Source organism: Homo sapiens, chromosome 6 (genome assembly GCF_000001405.40).
Source record: "Homo sapiens chromosome 6, GRCh38.p14 Primary Assembly".
Lineage (NCBI taxonomy): Eukaryota > Metazoa > Chordata > Mammalia > Primates > Hominidae > Homo > Homo sapiens.
Window position 1 is genome coordinate 39,116,596 of NC_000006.12, and position 19,535 is coordinate 39,136,130.

The 19,535-nt window shown below is 44.4% G+C and overlaps 1 annotated feature.

The window, feature by feature from the left end:
- Positions 14,897-15,495: an enhancer, noted in NCBI's record as "NANOG hESC enhancer chr6:39099268-39099866 (GRCh37/hg19 assembly coordinates)". NCBI's record gives its function as "activates a minimal SCP1, AML or CMV promoter by ChIP-STARR-seq in naive H9 embryonic stem cells {active_cell/tissue: H9 hESC(naive)}" and the evidence as "EXISTENCE:reporter gene assay evidence [ECO:0000049][PMID:30033119]".

Consider the following 19,535-nt stretch of genomic DNA (forward strand, 5'->3'; position numbering starts at 1 on the left):
GTGGGAAGCAGTTAGTGGATTTTGAGCAGGAGATGATATGATATGACATATTTTTAAAGGATTACACTGGCTGATGGAGGTGGGACCCTGGAAGATTGCAAGAATAGAAGAAGGGAAACTAGTTAGGAATAAATATGGTAGAATGAGAAACTGTAGTAGTTTGAGCTAGAGTGGTAGTGATGGAGGTCACGAGAATTGGTCAGATTCTGAATGTATTTTGAAGACCTGAGCCAACATGGTGTGAGACGGATTGGATGTGGAATGTGAGGAAAAAAGGTATCAAGGATGACAGGGCCAGCCATCGTGGCTCACGCCTATAATCCCAGCACTTTGGGAGGCCAAGGCAGGGGGATCGCTTGAACCTAGGAGTTCAAGACCAGCCTGGGGAACATAGCAAGACCTCATCGCTATTAAAAAAAAAAAAAAAAAAAAAGGATGACAGGTTTCTTCCATTACTACCCCACTCCTCCTGCCCCCCCATATACATACACACATGCCCTGAGCAACCAGGCAAATGATGCTGGGGCCCTCTATTGAAATGAGGGCACACTGGGAGGAGAGAATTACAGAATAAACACTGGAAGTTTTGTTTTGGACATACAAAGAACTTGGGATGCCTATTGGATATCCAAAAAATAGGCAGTTAGATAGTGAAAATGATTTGAGGGGAAAGTCAGGACCGGAGGCACACACTGGGAGTCATCAGCATGTGTATATTTAAAGCTGTAAGACTAGATAAGATCAAACAGTGAGTGTGGATAAGAAGAGATTTGAGGGCTGAGCCCTGAGTGGATTAGAGATGGTTTGTAAGAGAAAAGAATGGGATTATTACACCACAATGTCCTCTCTTTGAGAAACCACAAGAGGAAATTTCTTGCCCATTTTGGTGTCAGGAGTATGTCTGCTTCTCTTGAGAGATGGGATTCTTTAACCGATTTTGTCTCCCACTTGATAATGACTCTAAGACCTTAGGCCCGCATCTTGCAGGTGTATAGAATTAAGGCATACAATTTGTGGGCGGTTGCAGTCAGGGTCCCTGACAGGAAACGTGGCACCTTCCAAAGGGTGAAGTAAGAAGGGCTTAGTGAAGGAGTAAGTTACAAAGGTGTGGCAGGATGAAGGAAGCCAGCAAGGGATGGTTCACAGGAAGTGCTACCTGTCTCTAGGCCCAAAGCATCAGGAGGACAGAGCAGTTATCAGAACCCAGTGAGCCCTGTAGCTATAGGAGAAGCAAGGAGACACAGGAGCCCTTCAGGGAGCATAGAACAGGTAGAGAAGGGTGGAAAGAGGATCAGAAGAGGCAAACAGAACATCCAGGCCAGAGCTAATGTGGTTCCTGCTCTGTCTTGCTTTGGAAACCTTATTTTCTTTTTGCTTTGTTTTATTTATTATGAATTTACTTTTACTTGGTGCTTTGTAAGCCTCTTTAAATCCTTTTTGGAAGAGGTTAAAAGAATAGAAAAAAGAAAAGATGAAAGAGACCATCATGAAGAACAACTCCTGCCAAGCCAACTTTATTTCCTCTTTGGACGGGATTATGAGACTAGTAAATAAGAAGGGTCCCCAAAATGTGCTTAATGTGTGAATTTCATTAATTTTTATTATGAAATATTTTGTAAATGCCACATTTTACATATATATAATGTATATGCCATATACATAACATATATAATGTGTATGTGTCATACATATAAGTTATAAATAAAATACCCACATGATATGGTTTGGATCTGTGTCCCTGCCCAAATTTCATGTCAAATTGTAATCCCCAGTGTGGAGGTGCGGCCTGGTGAGATTGGATCATGAGTTTTTTTCTAATGGTTTAGCACCATCCTCCTAGTGCTGTCTTGTGATAGAGTTCTCACTAGATCTGGTTGTGTAAAAGTGTGTGGCATGGCTGGGTGCAGTGTCTCACGCCTGTAATCCCAGCACTTTGGGAGGCCAAGGCAGGTGGATCACTTGAGACAAGGGGTTTGAGACCAGCCTGGCCAACATGGTGAAACCTTGTCTCTACTAAAAACATAAAAATTAGCTGGGCATGGTGGCACACGCCTGTAATCCTAGCTACTCGGGAGACTGAGGCATGAGAATTGGGTGAACCCAGGAGGTGGAGGTTGCCGTGAGGTGAGATCGTGCCACTACACTCCAGCCCGGGCAACAGAGCGAGACCCTGTCTTGGAAAAAAAAAAAATTGTGGCACTTTCCTGCCCCTTCTCTCTTCCTCCTGCTCCAGCCATGTAAGACCTGCATGCTTTCCCTTCACCTTCTGCCATGATTATAAGTTTCCTGAGGCCTCCCCAGCTATGCTTCCTATATAGCCTGCAGAACTGTGAACCAATTAAACCTCTTTATAAATTACCCAGTCTCAGGTGTTTCTTCATAGCAATGCAAGAATGCACTAATACAGGCCTTGTTATAGAATTGAGTCATTGGCCCGATTCTATATTCCTATCTGTATCCACGCCGTAAAAGGCAGAGTAGACTTCCCCATTCCTTGACTGTAAACTCAGCCATGCAGATTGCTTTGGCCAAATGGGATGATGGCAGAAACTACGTGAGCAGGAACTTGAAGTGTGTTTGTCCTGTTAAATAAATTCTCTTAATATTCCACATTTCCATGAGATGAACTTGCAACAGCTAGCCAGCTAATCCAAGAATAATGAAAGACATCTAGGTTGTGGTCACCTGGCTGACCCAGAGACTTGCAGTTTAAAGCTGAGCTGCCCAACTGAGCACAGCCTCAAATAGCTAACCCCCAGCTTACCCTAAAATGTATGAAAACAAATGCTTATTTTACATAACTGAAATTTTGCAGTTGCATGTTACACAGCAAATGCTAACCAATACATACATACCCAATACCCAAGAAGAACATTTTAAGTTCCCTGTGTCCCTGTATGCTCATTCTTGATTCCCCACTCCTTTAATCTATTAGTGTGGTGGGGTATAGTAATCGATTTTCTGTTGTTAAATCATCCTCCATTCATGGAATAAATAAAACTCAAATCACTTTATAAAACATAAAACTCAAAGCTAAATTCAGTTTGAGAATTTTCTAGAAATTTTACATCTTTTGTTCATTAGTGAGATTTTCCTATAATTTTCTTTTCATGTGCTGTCCTCAATTTTAGATAGATTTTGCTAGCCTTATGAAATAAGCTGAAGTGTGCCTCCATCTTCCACACCCCCCACCCAAATTTTCTAGAACAGTTTGAACAAAATAGGAATTAACTGTTTCTTTAATATTTTGGTCGGACTTAGTAGTAAAACCATCTGGACCTGGTGTTTCCTTGTATCAGGTAAATAAATGTAATCTACAATTAACTGGATTCATAGCTGGTCAATTCACCCTTACCCAAAAAGGGTCAAGAAATGGATCAACATTGCTCTGTCCTGTTTGATATTTTTAGGAGTGTCTTGGGTGAAAATATGAGAGAGAATTTATCGTTTATTCAGGTGACAAAAATTTGGTAGAGAAGATCTGCAGTTATGCCTTTAGGGTAAAAAATAAACCAAAATGAATTTGATTCAATTTATTACGATTAAAGCATTGTGGGGATGCTCAGAGGGAACTGTGCTTCCTTCTAGATTTGCATTTATGTTTTTATATTATTGTTTTTGTTTCTTAATCATTGGCTTGGGAGCAATTTGTTTCAATAGGACTTGGAGCCTTTCCCTGACCACAGACTGGGTAGGAGGAGGGTTATATGGGGAATGTTTCAGCTGCTACTATGAATCCCATTTTCAAAGTGAGAGAGGATATAGTTTTTTTTTTTTTGAGACAGTCTCACTCTGTCACCCAGGTTGGAGTACAGCGGCACGATCTCAGCTCACTGCAACCTCCGCTTCTCGGGTTCAAGCGATTCTCGTGTCTCAGCCTCCCAAGTAGCTGGGACTACAGGCACGAGCCGCCACACCTGGCTAATTTTTTATATTTTTTGTAGAGATGGGGTTTTGCCATGTTGGCCAGGCTGGTCTTGAACTCCTCACCTCAGGTGATCTGCCTTCCTCAGCCTCCCAAAGTGCTGGGATTACAGGCATGAGCCACTGCACCCAGCCCAAGGATGTATTCTTGATACCCCCATGTATTCATGCTCTCTTTGGTCCTATCCTTGCAGGTACCACATACCAAGTTCTGAGCACTATGCTTTATATGACAAACCATATAAAGCAGAGGGGGGTAGCCTGGATAATGATGTGTCTAGAGCAGGATTTCTCAGCCTTGGCACTTTTGATGTTTTGGGCCAGAAAATCGTTGTGGGGGTTGTCCTGTGTCTCGTAGGATTCTTAGCAGCATCCTGGCCACCACCCACTAGTTGCCGGTAGCTTCTCCCTTAGATGTAACAACCAAAAATGTCTCTAGATAATGCCAAATGCCTCCTAAGAGGCAAGTTTGCCCCTGGTTGAGAACCACTGGTCTAAAGACCACATTGTAGTAAGAATGGTAAAGGCAGTGAGTGATTTGGGCCAGAGAGGGAGATTCACGGTGAAAACATACCAGTTTGTTTTAGAAACTCTGTTAGAAGTGCTGTTGTGGCCCTCTGGGCGACTATCTTCCAGTCTTCCAACAGGCTAGACAGGAAATTCGCCAGGCTGCTAATCTTCTCTTGCCTACTCCAGATTCCCAGCCATATGAAGACACCCTAGCTGGACGATCAGTTCTTGTTAAGAATCTGACCCCTCAAACTCTACAACCTCGATGGACCAGACCCTCCTTAGTCATCCATAGTACCCCAATTGCAGTCTGCCTGCAGGACCCTCCCCATTGGGTTCACTGTTCCAGAATAAAACTGTGTCCATTGGACAGCCAACCTGATTTCTCCTCTTCCTCCTGGAAGTCACAGGTACTCTCCCCTACTTCCCTTAAACTCACTCGAATTTCTGAAGAACGTAATAACCCTCATGAGCCTAATACATCCCTTCATTCTATTAAGTCTATTCATCCTTACCCTCCTTTTTGCAACAGGGCTTTACGCAGTCACCCCCACTACTTGGACTGCGCCCCAAAAACTTGTCATCCCTACTATCTTCTGTCTAGTCATACTCCTATTCACCATTCTCAACTGCTTATAAATGCCCTGCTCTTGTTTACACTGCCAGTTTACACTGTTTCTCCAAGCCATCACAGCTGATATCTCCTGGTGCTATCCCCAAACTGCCACTCTTAACTCCCTCTTAGAGTGGATAGATGATCTTTGCTGGCAGGGCACCCTCCAATACTTTCACCCTGATAAAGTCCTATTCCTTAGTTTTATACTCTTATTCTCGTTCCCATTCTTATGCTACCCTCTACCTCTCCCCAGCTATCTCCACCATACTATCAATCTCAGTCACTCTTTCCTAGCCGTTTCTAGTCCTTTTTTAACAAACAATTGCTGGCTTTGCATTTCTCTTTCCTCCAGGATCGCCAAGGCCTCGACTTACTCACTGCTAAAAAAGGAGACTCTGTATATTTTTAAATGAAGAGTGTTGTTTTTACCTAAATCAATCTGGCCTGGTATATGACAACATAAAAAACTCAAGGATAGAGCCCAAAAACTAGCCAACCAAGCAAATAATTATGCTGAACCCCCTTGGGCACTCTCTAATTGGATGTCCTGGGTCCTCCCAATTCTTAGTCCTTTAATACCTGTTTTTCTCCTTCTCTTATTCGGACCTTGTGTCTTCCGCTTAGTTTCTCAATTCATACAAAACCGCATACAGGCCATCACCAATAATTCTATATAACAAATGCTCCTTCTAACAACCCCACAATATCACCCCTTACCCCAAAATCTTGCTTCAGTTTAATCTCTCCCACTCTAGGTTCCCATGCCGCCCCTAATCCCGCTTGAAGCAGCCCTGAGAAACATCGCCCATTATCCCCCCAAAATTTTCACCACCTCAACACTTCACCACCATTTTGTTTTGTTTTTCTTATTAATGTAAGAAGACAGGAATGTCAGGCCTCTGAGCCCAAGCTAAGCCATCATATCCCCTATGACCTGCACGTATACATCCAGATGGCCCGAAGCAACTGAAGATCCACAAAAGAAGTGAAAATAGCCTTAACTGATAACATTCCACCATTGTGATTTGTTCCTGCCCCACCCTGATAGACATATTCTCCCCCGCCCTTAAGGTACTTTGTAATATTCTCCCCTCCCCTCCCCCCACTCTTAAGAAGGTACTTTGTACACCTATCCCAAACCTGCAAGAACTAAATGATAATCCCACCACCCTTTGCTGACTCCTTTTTCGGACTCAGCCCGCCTGCATCCAGGTGAAATAAACAGCCTTGTTGCGCACGCACACACACATACACAAAAGTGCTGTTGTGGTGAAGGAGAATCATTCTGTGGGACTCCAAGGGGTAGAACTTAGTTGGAAATTACAAGATGACAACTGTGGAATCTTAAAAAAAAAAAAAAAAAATTGGCATCTCAGTTATTTCAGCAATAGAATGTGCTGCCTTGCAGAGGCAATAAGTTCCCTGACACTAGCAGTATTCAAGCAGGGACTGACTGTCTACTTGTCAGGGTACTGTAGAGGGAAATTGGAGAGCTTCATATTTCAATCCAAGTAGACTAAACTAGGAGGAAAGAATGGAAGACTTTGGGGCATTTGAGTCTAGAAGTCTTAGTTGTAGCTATGATGAGTAGCATAAGGTACCGGTATGGCTACCCATATCCCCTTAATCTCACTGTTGCTGTACATGATGATGGCTTTTTTCCCCCACTTTTTTTTTTCTTTTTAGGGACAGGGTCTTGCTCTGTTGCCCAGACCAGAGTGCCCTGGCGATTATAATTCACTGCAGTCTTGAACTCCTGGGCTCAAGCAATCCTCTGTCTGAACCTCTCAAGTAGCTGGGACTACAGGTGTGCATCACCATGCCTGGCTATTTTTTTTTTTTCTTGTAGAGACTAGTTTTTGCTATGTTGTCCGGGCTGGTCTGGAACTGTTAGCCTCAAGCTATCTTCCCACCTTGGCTCCCAGAGTGCTGGGATTACAGCCACTATGTAAGCCATTGCACCCAGCCCTGATGGCTTCTACAAGCACCTGGGGGCTTTCTCTGGCTGCAGGAGTGTGTTCAACTAGTACATGAGGCAAATTAGTAGTGGTGGGAGACTATTCCTCTCCAACCCTGAAAAAGTCTTCAACCAATTTTAGATGGGAGTTGGTGGATAAATACCCTAGCTCCCTCACTCCTTATGGGGGATGATTCTGATGTGTGTTCCCCAGAGTCTCCCAAGAGTCTTCGGTAGGAATGAGCCTCAGTTGCCCACAGCTCATTAACACACCCTATATCACCTTTCTTCCCTTTCCTGTCTCACTTCCCTGCTGCCCTATCAGTGCTCCCTAGAATCACTTTCCCAGTAAACTTCTTACATTTGAATCTTTAGCTCAGGATTTTCTACCAAGAGAATCTAAGAGCTATGCAAGACCTAAGCCTATGGACTTGCCTGAGAAAAGGGAAGTAAACTAGAGGGATGGTTGGTATTTCACATTTACAAAACCCCTACCTTGATGTTTGAAGCAAGCAAAACAGGACTTTAGACTGTCACCAAAGAAGATATTTGGAAATGGTAATAAAGAAGTTAAGAGAGAGGATGGGAAGCAGAGGGCTATAGTGCTTCAACTGAAGCAGCCTGCTTTGCACTGCTGCTGCTGGACTGCTGCTGGCAAGGTTTTTTAGCTCTCACTTTATCTTGAACTCTGCAGAGGTCAGAGTCCTAGAATAACTGATTCAGTCATTCTATGAGTCTGTCCTCCAAGGAATTTAGAGACCATTTAGTCAGCAAATATTGATGGAACACCTGTTATATGCCAGGCCCTGGACCAGGCTTTGAGGATGCAGACATGAATAAAATACAGTCCTACTGTTAGGAATTCAAGGTATAGTTAGAGAGACAGACTCACTGATAGACAGTTATAACACAGAGGTCTGGGGAACAGAGGAGGGGCACTAACTCAAGCTGGGAGTTCTTCAGATTCAAATATGGGGAAACTGAGGCCCAGAGAGGGAAAGCTGATGAGATGATATAATTCATGGGCATTGCTATAGACATTAAATATTTCTGGTGATAGTTTGATGCTTTATAATTATCTTTTGCATGAAAGGTAATGGTTCATGACCCTTCTGCCCCCACTTACTCTTGGCTTTGTGGTTACAACTGCTTTTCCTGACACTTATTGCTGGCTTGAACTTTGCCTTTTTGTAACCCCCCCGTGACTGGGATCTTGTGTTCTGAAAGAGCTCAACAGTCTCTACTATTTGTCCCCATCAGTCTGCCCAATCCTATTACCTGAAGCTTCTCCATTTTCCTCCTCTACATCTCAACTCCCTGTAAATTCCAAGATCTTAGGTTTTGACAATTTCCTAACCACCTGACTTGCCTTATGTCCAAGTTCCATTGTGCTTAGCTCTGATACTCAGAGAAATGCCTCCTGTGGCCTGCAGAACAGATGACCTAAAGCTCACAGGCTTGCAACAAAAATGATCTATATGTAAATCCCATCCCAAAACTCTCCCCCAAACTAACTGAAAGTAGTTGGAGAAGAATCTCTTTGCAGGTTGACAATGCACCTGAAGAAAACCATAGGAATTGTGTGTTTTATAAGAGCCTGCTTCCTCATGATTTTGTATGGGAATAAAGTCAGAAGGAAGGCAAGCTTTTGTCCTATAAAGTCCTTGGAAGAAATGGGCCATTTCACTAAAATACATGTACATACATCCAGAGAAGTATATTTCCTGACTCGAAAAATATCGCCTGCTTAGCCACCTCCTTGGAAGCTCCTGCTTCAGCCTTACATTTCTCTTCAACCATTGACCTTCTAGAGTCTTGACTAAACACCAGGGTTTAGGGCCCAAATATATATATATACACACACATATATATATATTTTAACCTTGAGAACCAGTTGAGTCATTCACTATTAACAACAAATTGGGCTCCTAATAATATCTGGCCTTTGTGGAGTGATTAATGTGTGCCAGACACTGTGCTGACCACTTGAAAATTATTATGTACTTTAATTTTCTCAACAACTCTTCAGGAAGGCATGTGAGCAGATTCCATAGTTTGATGTCACACAGCAAGCAACTAGCAGGACCAGGTTTTGAACCCAGGGAGTCTGACTCCAGAGCAGAGCCCAGGAACCCACTATCCTGTCTATTCTATGTGCAGATCAGTTTCAAGGTTCTGGGAAGACAAACAGGTATAAGTTGTGGTCCTCGAGTTCCAGAAAAACTTATGAAATCATGGAGAAGATGAAACAAGAATGCAAAATGAGAAATAATGCCAGAAACTATTGCTAAGTGTCTTATCAGTGGGACAGACAGAGCAGGAACTTACCAGGTAGAGGAAGAGATCAGTGAGGCAGGGGAGGTCTAAACGACTCCACGGAGAAGCATGGTATTTGGCCTTGAAAGATTGAAAGGACTTAGGTAAGCTGAGAGGAAGAAGTCAACCAAGATAAGAGGACTTTGCACACATGGGTTCAAGTCCCAGCTCTGACGTTATCTACACAATCATAGGAAAGTCACTCATTCTCCTTATTGTTCTATTTCCTTTTTGTAAAGAGAGAATCTCAGGGAAGTGGTATGGAGTAAGAGAGAAAGTACAAATTTGGAACCTGGCTTCAGAGAGGTGGGGAGGGAGGAGTTAATGATTTGGTGAGGGGGGTTTACAAAGTTCTAGTTCTTGACCTAAATAGTGGTTCCATGAGTAAAAATCAACATCCAGGCTAGGCGCGGTGGCTGACGCCTGTAATCCCAGCACTTTGGGAGGCTAAGGTGGGCAGATAACCTGAGGTCAGGAGTTCAAGACAGCCTGGCAAACATGGTGAAACCCCATCTCCACTAAAAATACAAAAATTAGCCAGGTGTGGTGGTGCGTGCCTGTAATCCCAGCTACTCGGGAGGCTGAGGCAGGAGAATCGCTTGAACCTGGGAGACAGAGGTGGCAGTGAGCTGAGATCATGCCACTGCACTCCAGCCTGGGTGACAGAGTAAGACTCTGTCTCAAAAACAAACAAACAAACAAACAAACAAGCAAACAAACAAACAAAAAAACAGGCCAGGCACGGCGGCTCATGCCTGTAATCCCAGCACTTTGGGAGGCCAAGGCAGGCAGATCACCTGAGGTCAGGAGTTCGAGACCAGCCTGGCCAACATGGCAAAACCCCGTCTCTACTAAAAATACAAAAATTAGCTGGTTGTGGTGGGGGGTGCACCTGTAATCCCAGCTACTCAGGAGGCTGAGGCAGGAGAATTGCTTGAACCTGGGAGGCGGAGGTTGCAGTGAGCTGAGATCATACCACTGCACTCCAGCCTGGGCAACAAGAGTGAGACTCCATCTCAAAACAAAAACAAAACAACAACAACAACAACAACCACCACCAAAAACCAACATCCATAAGTGATAACCCATCAAACAGTAAAAGTAAGTACTTAAGTAGCTTCTAATTTTTATTTGTCTGTTTCTTTATTTATAAATGGGGATGATACCTCACAAGAAGACTGATAGAATGAGGTGACCTGATGGGGAGTACCTAGCAGTACACAGGAAGCTTAAAAGGTATGAAACCGGCATAGTCCAAGCTCAGTAGATGACCAAAGTCCTGGGAAGACACAGCGGGAGGAAAAGAAGATCCTCCTATCCCAAAGGAATTGGAATGCATATTGAGAATTGGTGCCTTAATAGGCTTTTAAATTAGGGAAGACACTATTCATCTGAGCTAGTTGAAATTGTTTCCATATTAAAAAAAAAACAACTGATGGGATGGCTTCCTCGCCTGCTTTCTCCCCTGTCTCCCATCACTCTTTTGGGATTATTTGAACCAAAATAAACCTCTTTTTCCAATTATCTTAATAGGGCTTGGGTTAAATATACGCAGTCATTGATATAACTTTGAAGGGGTATTGAGAAGCCTGTCAGCCAGGCTCCCACAGTCTCCACAGTCTATAGGAGACACAGGGATTTCTGTCTACCTCAGAAGAAATCCAGCTGGTCAGGACAATGGACTAAGCCCCTCTGTGAATCTGAGTTCTTCATTAGGAAGCAAATAGTAGGGGGAACTAGATAGCACTTATCTTTGGCTTCAGGCTCCTTCCTCACCCAGAGCTGCTAAAGACATGGAAGGCTCTGTGGTGAGGGATTCCATGGTGGAGGGCCCCATGGTGGAGGATTCCATGGTTGGGGGTTCTATGGTAGACATTTCCATGGTGGAGTGTTCTGTAGTGAGGGGTTACATGTGGTGGGGGGAGTCTCTGATTGGAACCTTCATCATGCCACTACACCTTTCCTTTTCCCACACAAACCCCACTCCCAAGCCCCAGCCTCATTACTTCCCACTGACCACTAATACCCCACCCTTTAGCAATGCTAAACTACAGTTTCTCAAACATCCCAACTTGTTTCCCTTCCTCACATGCCAAGTGCCACTCATCTCACATACTTGGCTTCTACATTTCCTTCTTCAGGAAGCTCCTCAGGCCTTGTTCCTGGGCCTGGCTTTGGTTCTTTCAGATATAATCTCCCAACACGAAGTGCATCCTCTATTGCAACCCTTATCAGCTGTATTACAATGGTCGGTTTACTAGTTGATAGGATATTGTTTCATGTTTCTGAATAGAGACCAAAAATAATAATGAACAAAATAGAAATGTGTGTCTTCCCAGCAGGCATCACATGAGAGTGTTATGGGGCCATGACTCAGGCCCATTCACTCTTGTTGCTCTGCCTCCCTAGGGGGTTGACAACATGGTGCAATTTGGCTCCAAGCTACACCAGAATTCCAACCTGTCCTAATTCCAAAGCCAGCCATCCACAAGCTATGCTGCCTGTGTTAGTGAAGTGTAGCTCATTGCAGATTAGGGAGGAAGATGCGAAGAAAATTAGGAAAGTTCAAGGGATATTGGGAGACACTTGAGTGCCCAGTGGGGGTTGGTAGGAGATGCAATCATAAAGGTCGGTTCACTGTGCAGGACTCGAATGTCATAAATACATTTGATAATGACAGTGCCCTTGTCTTAATCCATTTGTTTTGTTTTAAAGGAACACTTGAGGCTGTTTAATTTATAAAGAAAAGAGGTTTATTTGGCACATGATTCTGTTGGCTGGAAGACTATGCACCTGGTGAAAGCCTCAGCTGCTTCCACTCATGGTGGAAGGTGAAGGGGATTCAACATGTGCAGAGACCACACAGTGAGAGAGGAAGCAAGAGAGAGGAAGGGAGGTGCCAGGCTCTTTTTAACAACCAATCTTGTGGGAACTAATATAGTGAGAGCTCACTCACTGCCCCCACTTCAGGGAGGGAATTAATGTATTTGTGAGGGAGCCAGCCCCATGACCCAACACCTCCCACTAGGCCTCACTTCCCAACACTGTAACACTGGGGATGAAATTTCAACATGAGATTTGGAGGGGTCAAATGTCCAAACAATAGCAGGTCTTGATGGTCAGACAGTGTCATCTCTCAGGCATGCACTCCAAAATCACTGCCTCTGAAGTGAGAATCAGCTCCAAGTGCCTCTGAAGACTTTTCCTAAATCTTTCTTACATCATATTGGAGAGATGTGGGTCAGATCTCTGCAAAGGGAAGTGAGTAAAGAAGCTGATTCTCAACAAATCACTTCTACAGCTGGAGTCCATGGGCCTGAGCCATCTACCTTCTGAGCTGTTTCTAAACTTGACTGATCATCAGAATCATCTTAGCACTTTAATAACAAAGAAATGAGATCCTGAGCCTATCTGTGTCCCCTTTAATATCCAGGGTTGGGCTCAGGAACCTGTATATTTTTGTAAAATTCTTCCAGTGACTCTGATGAGGAGCTGGGTGTGGGCACCTTTGCACCTAGGAGACCCATCACCACCCTGTGTTTACTGTAACTGAAGATTCACCAACCGAACTCCTTTTTTCTTTCATGGTGGAAGCATTTTTCTCTCTTTGGACCCATGGCAGGTTGATTCTTCTTAGACATTCTCTCTGAATTCTAAGTTTATTGCAAAGTCCAAAAAGTTTTGGGCCTCCTCCAAGCCTCCTCAGTGACAAATCCATTCTCTAGAATATTAAATACAGAGCTGAGTGATTCTAAACTTTGGCTAACCACAAACTCCAACCTCTATACATCTTGTAAAGAGGTTCAGAAAAATCATTAGACATCAAAACTTCAAATGCACCCCTGATAGAGACTTCTTCTTAGGTTTGACCATCCATCTCCCATGATTCCCAAACCACTAAGTCCCTGGGCCAAGATTTCTGTCATTAGGAAATCACCCAGGCAGGAACTGAGCCCTGGTAATAGTAGATTTATCTAGTGGCTTCATGAGTCATGTGCTTTATATACATCATTCCATGAAAACCACCTTGACAAGTTGGGGATATTAGCATTATGAGTCCCAATTATAGATGAAGAATCTGAAGCTCAGAGGAGTAGAAATGGGTTTCAAACCTATATCTGCACACATGCACACACATGGAAGAGAGGAAAAGGACAAGAAATCGAGGTGGAGGCTGGACACAGTGGCTTATGCCTGTAATCCTAGCATTTTGGGAGGCCGAGCGGGGGGAGGCTCACCTGAGGTCAGGAGTTCAAGACCAGCCTGGCCAACATGGAGAAACCCAGTCTCTACTAAAAATACAAAAATTAGCCACACGTGGTGTGGGCACCTGTAGTCCCAGCTACTTGGAAGGCTGAAGCAGGAGAATCTCTTGAACACGGGAGGTGGAGGTTGCACTGAACCAAGATCGTGCCACTGCACTCCATCCAGCCTGGGTGACAGGGCAAGACTCCATCTCAAAAAACAAACAAACCAAAAAAAAGAAAGACAGAGAGCATTTCCTTGTTGAGGTCTGCTTCCTATTTTCCTGATTCTCTGTGAAAGGTCCTTTCCAGAGAAAGTTCCCCCACACCTTTCACATTCTCATGCCAATAGCAGCCAATACAGAAACAGCCTTTGATGCTCCAAGGAAAACTTTAGCAAACAAAGTTGAGCTCCTTCTGCAAAAACTAGCTTCTCCTTTGCATCATTTCAGAGCCTCCATGGACCCACAAATATTATTTTCAGCTAATCACGTATGCGCCAGACAGTTATGATATACAATAAATGATTAACACATTCAGCTGATTCGAAGACAATTCACCAAATTTATTGGAAGGCACTTTTATTCAAGACACCACACAGATTCCCTTTCCCTACATTTTTTTGTTCCTTTGCTGATTCACTCTGTATTGTGGCTGAATCATTTAGCTTTTCTGTTGTTGTTGTTCCATTCCTTTGGCTTTTATAACTCAACAGAGCTGAATGGGAGAAGGCTGGGCACATGATTACTGCTGGGAAAATGGCAGTTTGACTCATGAGAGGTATGGTGAGCACACTTTGGGATCAGAAGAATTCTAAATCTGAGGCACTTGAAGAGAAAATAGCCATCACATTTGGTCTGTCTTCCTGTGGAGATTGAGTTCATCCCCCACACCCCACTCTACCCAGTGCTATTATTTGCTGATAGGAGGAGCGTTATACTGACTATGATTGGTCTGTAGCAATTAGCTCAAATTCTCCTCTGGCAGGCTGGACCCTCCAGAGCATTAATTGGTTTTAATGCAGAGTGGTTTAAAATAACTCACTCTTCCACAGGCTAATTCCTTGTTTCTCGGAGCAGATTGAATTGTTCGGAAATGAACCATTCTTCTCACTCGGCCCTTGGTTTGTAGCATCTTTCTAGAAAAGAGAGGCTAATGTGGGAATGGGGTCAGGGAGAGACTGGCTGTTGCCTGTTCTGTGACTCCAAAATGTTTTCTCTAGTCTGGACAGTATTATCCTTGTCTTTCGAAACTGATTGATGAATGCAGAATAATGTGCATTAAGAAAATCATTATATTCCCACACCACTCAGAGTACTGAATGGCTAAAAAATAATGTCAGCCAAGTGTTGTCATGTGCGTCTGTGTGAAGAGACCACCAAACAGGCTTTGTGTGAGCAACAAAGCTGCTTATTTCACCTGGGTGCAGGCAGGCTGAGTCCGAAAAAGGAGTCAGTGAAGGGAGATAGGGGTGGGGCTGTTTTATAGGATTTGGGTGGGTAGTGGAAAATTACAGTCAAAGGGGGTTTTTCTCTTATGGGCAGGGGCAGGGGTCACAAGGTGCTCAGTGGGGGAGGTTCTGAGCCAGGAGAAGGAATTTCACAAGGTTAATTGCTCAGTTGAGGTGGGGCAGGAACAAATCACAATGGTGGAATGTCATCAGTTAAGGCAGGAACCAGCCATTTTCACTTCTTTTGTGATTCTTCACTTGCTTCAGGCCATCTGGATGTATACGTGCAGGTCACAGGGGATACGGTGGCTTAGCTTGGGCTCAGAGGCCTGACATTCCTGCCTTCTTATATTAATAAGAAAAATAACATAAAATAGTATTGAAGTGTTGGGGCAGTGAAAATTATGGGGGGTGGTATGGAGAGATAATGGGCAATGTTTCTCAGGGCTGCTTCAAGTGGGATTGGGGTGGCATGGGAACCTAGAGTGGGAGAGTTTAAGCTGAAGGAAGATTTTGTGGTAAGGTTGTTAGAAGGAGCATTTGTCATATAGAATGATTGGTGATGGCCTGGATGTGGTTTTGTATGAATTGAAAAACTAAACGGAAGACACAAGGTCCAAATAAGAGAAGGAGAAAAACAGGTATTAATGGACTAAGAATTGGGAGGACCCAGGACATCCAATTAGAGAGTGCCCAAGGGGGTTCAGCATAATTACTTGCTTGGTTGGCAAGTTTTCGGGCTCTATTCTTGACAGAGACCTTTTTTTTAAGTTGGAGGCTGAGCTTAGTGAGGTATGATTTTAAAAGACCATTAGTCCGTTTTACCTTTCCTGAAGATTGAGGATGGTAAGGGGTATGAAGATTCCACTGAACACCAAGAGCCTGAGAAACTGCTTGGGTGATTTAACTAATAAAGGCCAGTCTGTTATGTATAGAGGTGGGAAGGCCAAATCGAGGAATTATGTCTGACAGAAGGGAAGAAATGACTGTGGTGGCCTTCTCAGACCCTGTGAGACCCATCCAGTGAAAGTGTCTACCTAGACCAAGAGGTATTTTAGTTTCCTGACTCAGGGCATGTGAGTAAAGTCAATTTGCCAGTCCTGGGCAGGGGCAAATCCCCGAGCTTGATGTATAGGGAAGGGAGGGGGCCTGAACAATCCCCGAGGAGTAGTAAAATAGCAGATGGAACACTGAGAAGTGATTTCCTTGAGAATAGATTTCCATGATGGAAAGGAAATGAGAGGTTCTAAGAGTTAGGCTAGCGGCTTGTAACCTACATGGAAGAGGTTATGAAATGACAACAGAATAGAATGGGCCTGTGAGGCTGGAAGGAGATATTTTCCTTGGTCTAAGAACCATTTGCCTTGTTTGGGGAGAGATTGATAGGTGGAAGTTTCAGTGGGAGAGTAGGTGGGAGTGACTGATGAGGAGGAGAAAAACTGGCCATGAGGGACAGAAGTTGGAACACTAGCTGCTTCTTTAGCTACCTTATCAGCATAAGCGTTGCCCTGAGCGATGGGATCTGATGCCTTTTGATGGCCCTCACAGTGAATAACTCCAGCTTTCTTTGGAAGCAAAGCAGCCTTGAGACGAGTTTTTATTAAAGAGGCATTAATGATGGAAGACCATTGCATAGTGAGGAAACCTGTTTCAGCCCATATAACAGCAAGGTGGTGCAGGATATGGAAGACATATTTAGAGTCAGTATAAATATTGACTGTAGTCCCTTTGCAAGAGTGAGGGCCTGAGTTAAGGCAATGAGTTCAGCTTGCTGAGAGGTAGTAGAGGGGGCAGAGCAGAAGCCTCAATGATAGATGTGGAAGATACTACTATAGCATAGCCTGCCTTAGCTGGTGAGTGGCGATTAGGCCTGGTGGAACTGCCATCAGTAAACCAAGTCAGGGTGAGGAACAGGAAAGAAGGAAATATGGGGAAATGGAGTGAATGCCAGGTGTATCAGAGAGATACAGTCATGGGGGTCATGTGTGGTATCAGGAATAATGTGGAAGGCCGGATTGAAGTCTGGGCCAGAAACAATGGTAATTGTGGGAGACTCAACAAAGAGTGAGTATAGCCAAAGGAGCTGGAGGGCAGAAAGTATATGCGTCAGGTGTGAGGAAGAAAATAGATTTTGGAAGTTATGGGAACGTAGAGAGTGAGTTGAGCATAGTTTGTGATTTTGAGGGCCTCTAAAAGTATTAAAGCTGCAGCATCTGCCACACGCAGACATGAGGGCTAGGCTAAAAAAGTAAGGTCAAGTTGTTTGGACAGAAAGGCTATAGGGTACGGTCCCGGCTCTTGGGTAAGAATTCTAACCACACAGCCCTTCTCTTCGGCTGTGTGTAATGGAAAAGGTTGGGATGAGTTAGGGAGAGCTAGTGTGGGAGCAGCCTTTAGGGCTGTTTTTAAGGAACGGAAAGAGGATTGGGGAAAGGATTTAGGATCTATGGGGTCAGCTAGGTTTATCTAGAGAAGAATAATGGGTTGTGGAGGGAGGTATTGAGGATAGGAGAGTATCCTATGGGCCACCCCATAGGCATATGTCTTGCCCCATAGGCAAGACAATTTGGTTGATAAAGCGCAGATCCTGAACTAACCTGTAAGACTTGTCTGGTTTTTGGACAGGTAAAATGGGGGAATTGTAAGGAGAGATTATAGGCTTTAAAAGGCCATGCTGTAACCGGCGAGTGATAACAGGCTTTAATCCTTTTAAAGCATGCTGTAGGATGGGATATTGGCATTGAGCGAGGGAAGGGTGATTAGGTTTTAATGGGATGGTAAGGGGTGCATCATCTGTCACCAAGGAGGGAGTAGAGGTGTCCTATACTTGTCAATTAAGGTGGGGAGATACAAGGAGAGGATGTGAAGGAGGCTTTGAACTGGGGGAAAAGGTGGCAATGAGATGTGGCTGTAGCTTAGGAATAGTCAGGGAAGCAGATAATTTAGTTAAAATGTCTCCACCTAATAAGGGAGCTGGGCAGGTGGGGATAACTAAAAAAGAGTGCATGAAAGAATGCTGTCCAAATTGGCACCAGAGTTGGGGAGTTTTAAGAGGTTTAGAAGCCTGGCCGTCAATACCCACAACAGTTATAGAGGCAAGGGAAACACACACTTGAAAAGAAGATAATGTGGAGTGGATAGCCTCCGTATTGATTAAGAAGGGGATGAACTTACCCTCCACTGTAAGAGTTACCCAAAGTGTCTGTGATGGTCCTGTAGGCTCCTGAGGCAATCCGGCAGTGTCAGTCTTCAGCCACTAAGCCGAGATCAGATAAAGAAAAAGGAGCTTTAATCTTGGCTATGCCTTCAGCTCCAGCCACCTCTTTAAGAGGAAATTGTTGGGCAGGTGGGGGAGGGCTAGTTGAAGAAAGAAATTATAAGCTGGATGGGGTGTGAGGAGGGGGTGATAAAAGGATTACAGGGTCAGGGAGTGGAGGCTGAGGAAGAATTGGGACCTGGCTTGGCCTGGCGAGGAGCAGCCTGGGGAGGAGGGGAGAGGTCAGATGAGTCTGTAGGAAAGGAGGATTCAAAGGACTCAGAGCTTGGGGTGGAGACTGAAAGAACAGACAGGAGAGAAAGAAGAAAGATTTGGGACGAGTCTCACTGAGAGCAGAGACTACGGAGGGACCGATGTGTAAAAGAATGCCTGGACGTCAGGCACCTCAGACCCTTTGCCCATTTTTCGACAAAAATTATCTAGATCTTGTAGGAAAGACAAATTGAAAGTGCCATTCTCTGGCCACTTGGAACTACTGTCGAGTTTGTATTGGGGCCAAGCGGTATTGCAGAAGAAAATAAGGCATTTAAGTTTTAGGTCAGGTGTGGGTTGAAGAGGTTTTAAGTTCTTGAGAACACAGGCTAAGGGAGAAGAAGAGGGAATGGAGGGCCGAAGTTTGCCCATAGTGAAGGAGGTAAGTTTAAAGAGAAAGCTAGAGACAATGGAGAAGGGGGTGGTAAGCAGCCCTGGGCTGCAATGTGGGTGAGCAGCCAAAGCAGGCATCCCTGCAACTGACTTGCCACCAAGGGAATGTGGGTGAATGACCAAGGCAGGCATCCCCGCGGTGATCAGACACCAATGGAGTGTGGGTGAATAATCAGGCAGGTGTCCCTGCAGTGATTAAACACCAAGGGAAGAATGTCTTCCCAAGTCTGTAACTGGCACTGGAGTTTTGGGTCCACGGATAAAATGAGTCTCCTTTGTCTCTACTAGAAAGGAAAATAAGTGGAATTGGAAGGACAGGGAGATTGAAGGATAGCAAGAGAGGGAGATTGAAGGGTAGCGAGAGGCTGGAGAAGAGAGTGAAAAGACCACTTACCTGATTTGAAATTGGCGAGATGTTCCTCGGGCTGGTTGATCTGAGGACCCAAGGTCATAGGTGGATCTCCTCATGGAGTGAGGGCGATGACAGGGGACCGATCTCCTGAAGCAGTCCTCCTGTCCCGGGTCTTCGGCACCAAATGTTATGCGCGTCCGTGTGGAGAGACCACCAAACAGGCTTTGTGTGAGCAACAAAGCTG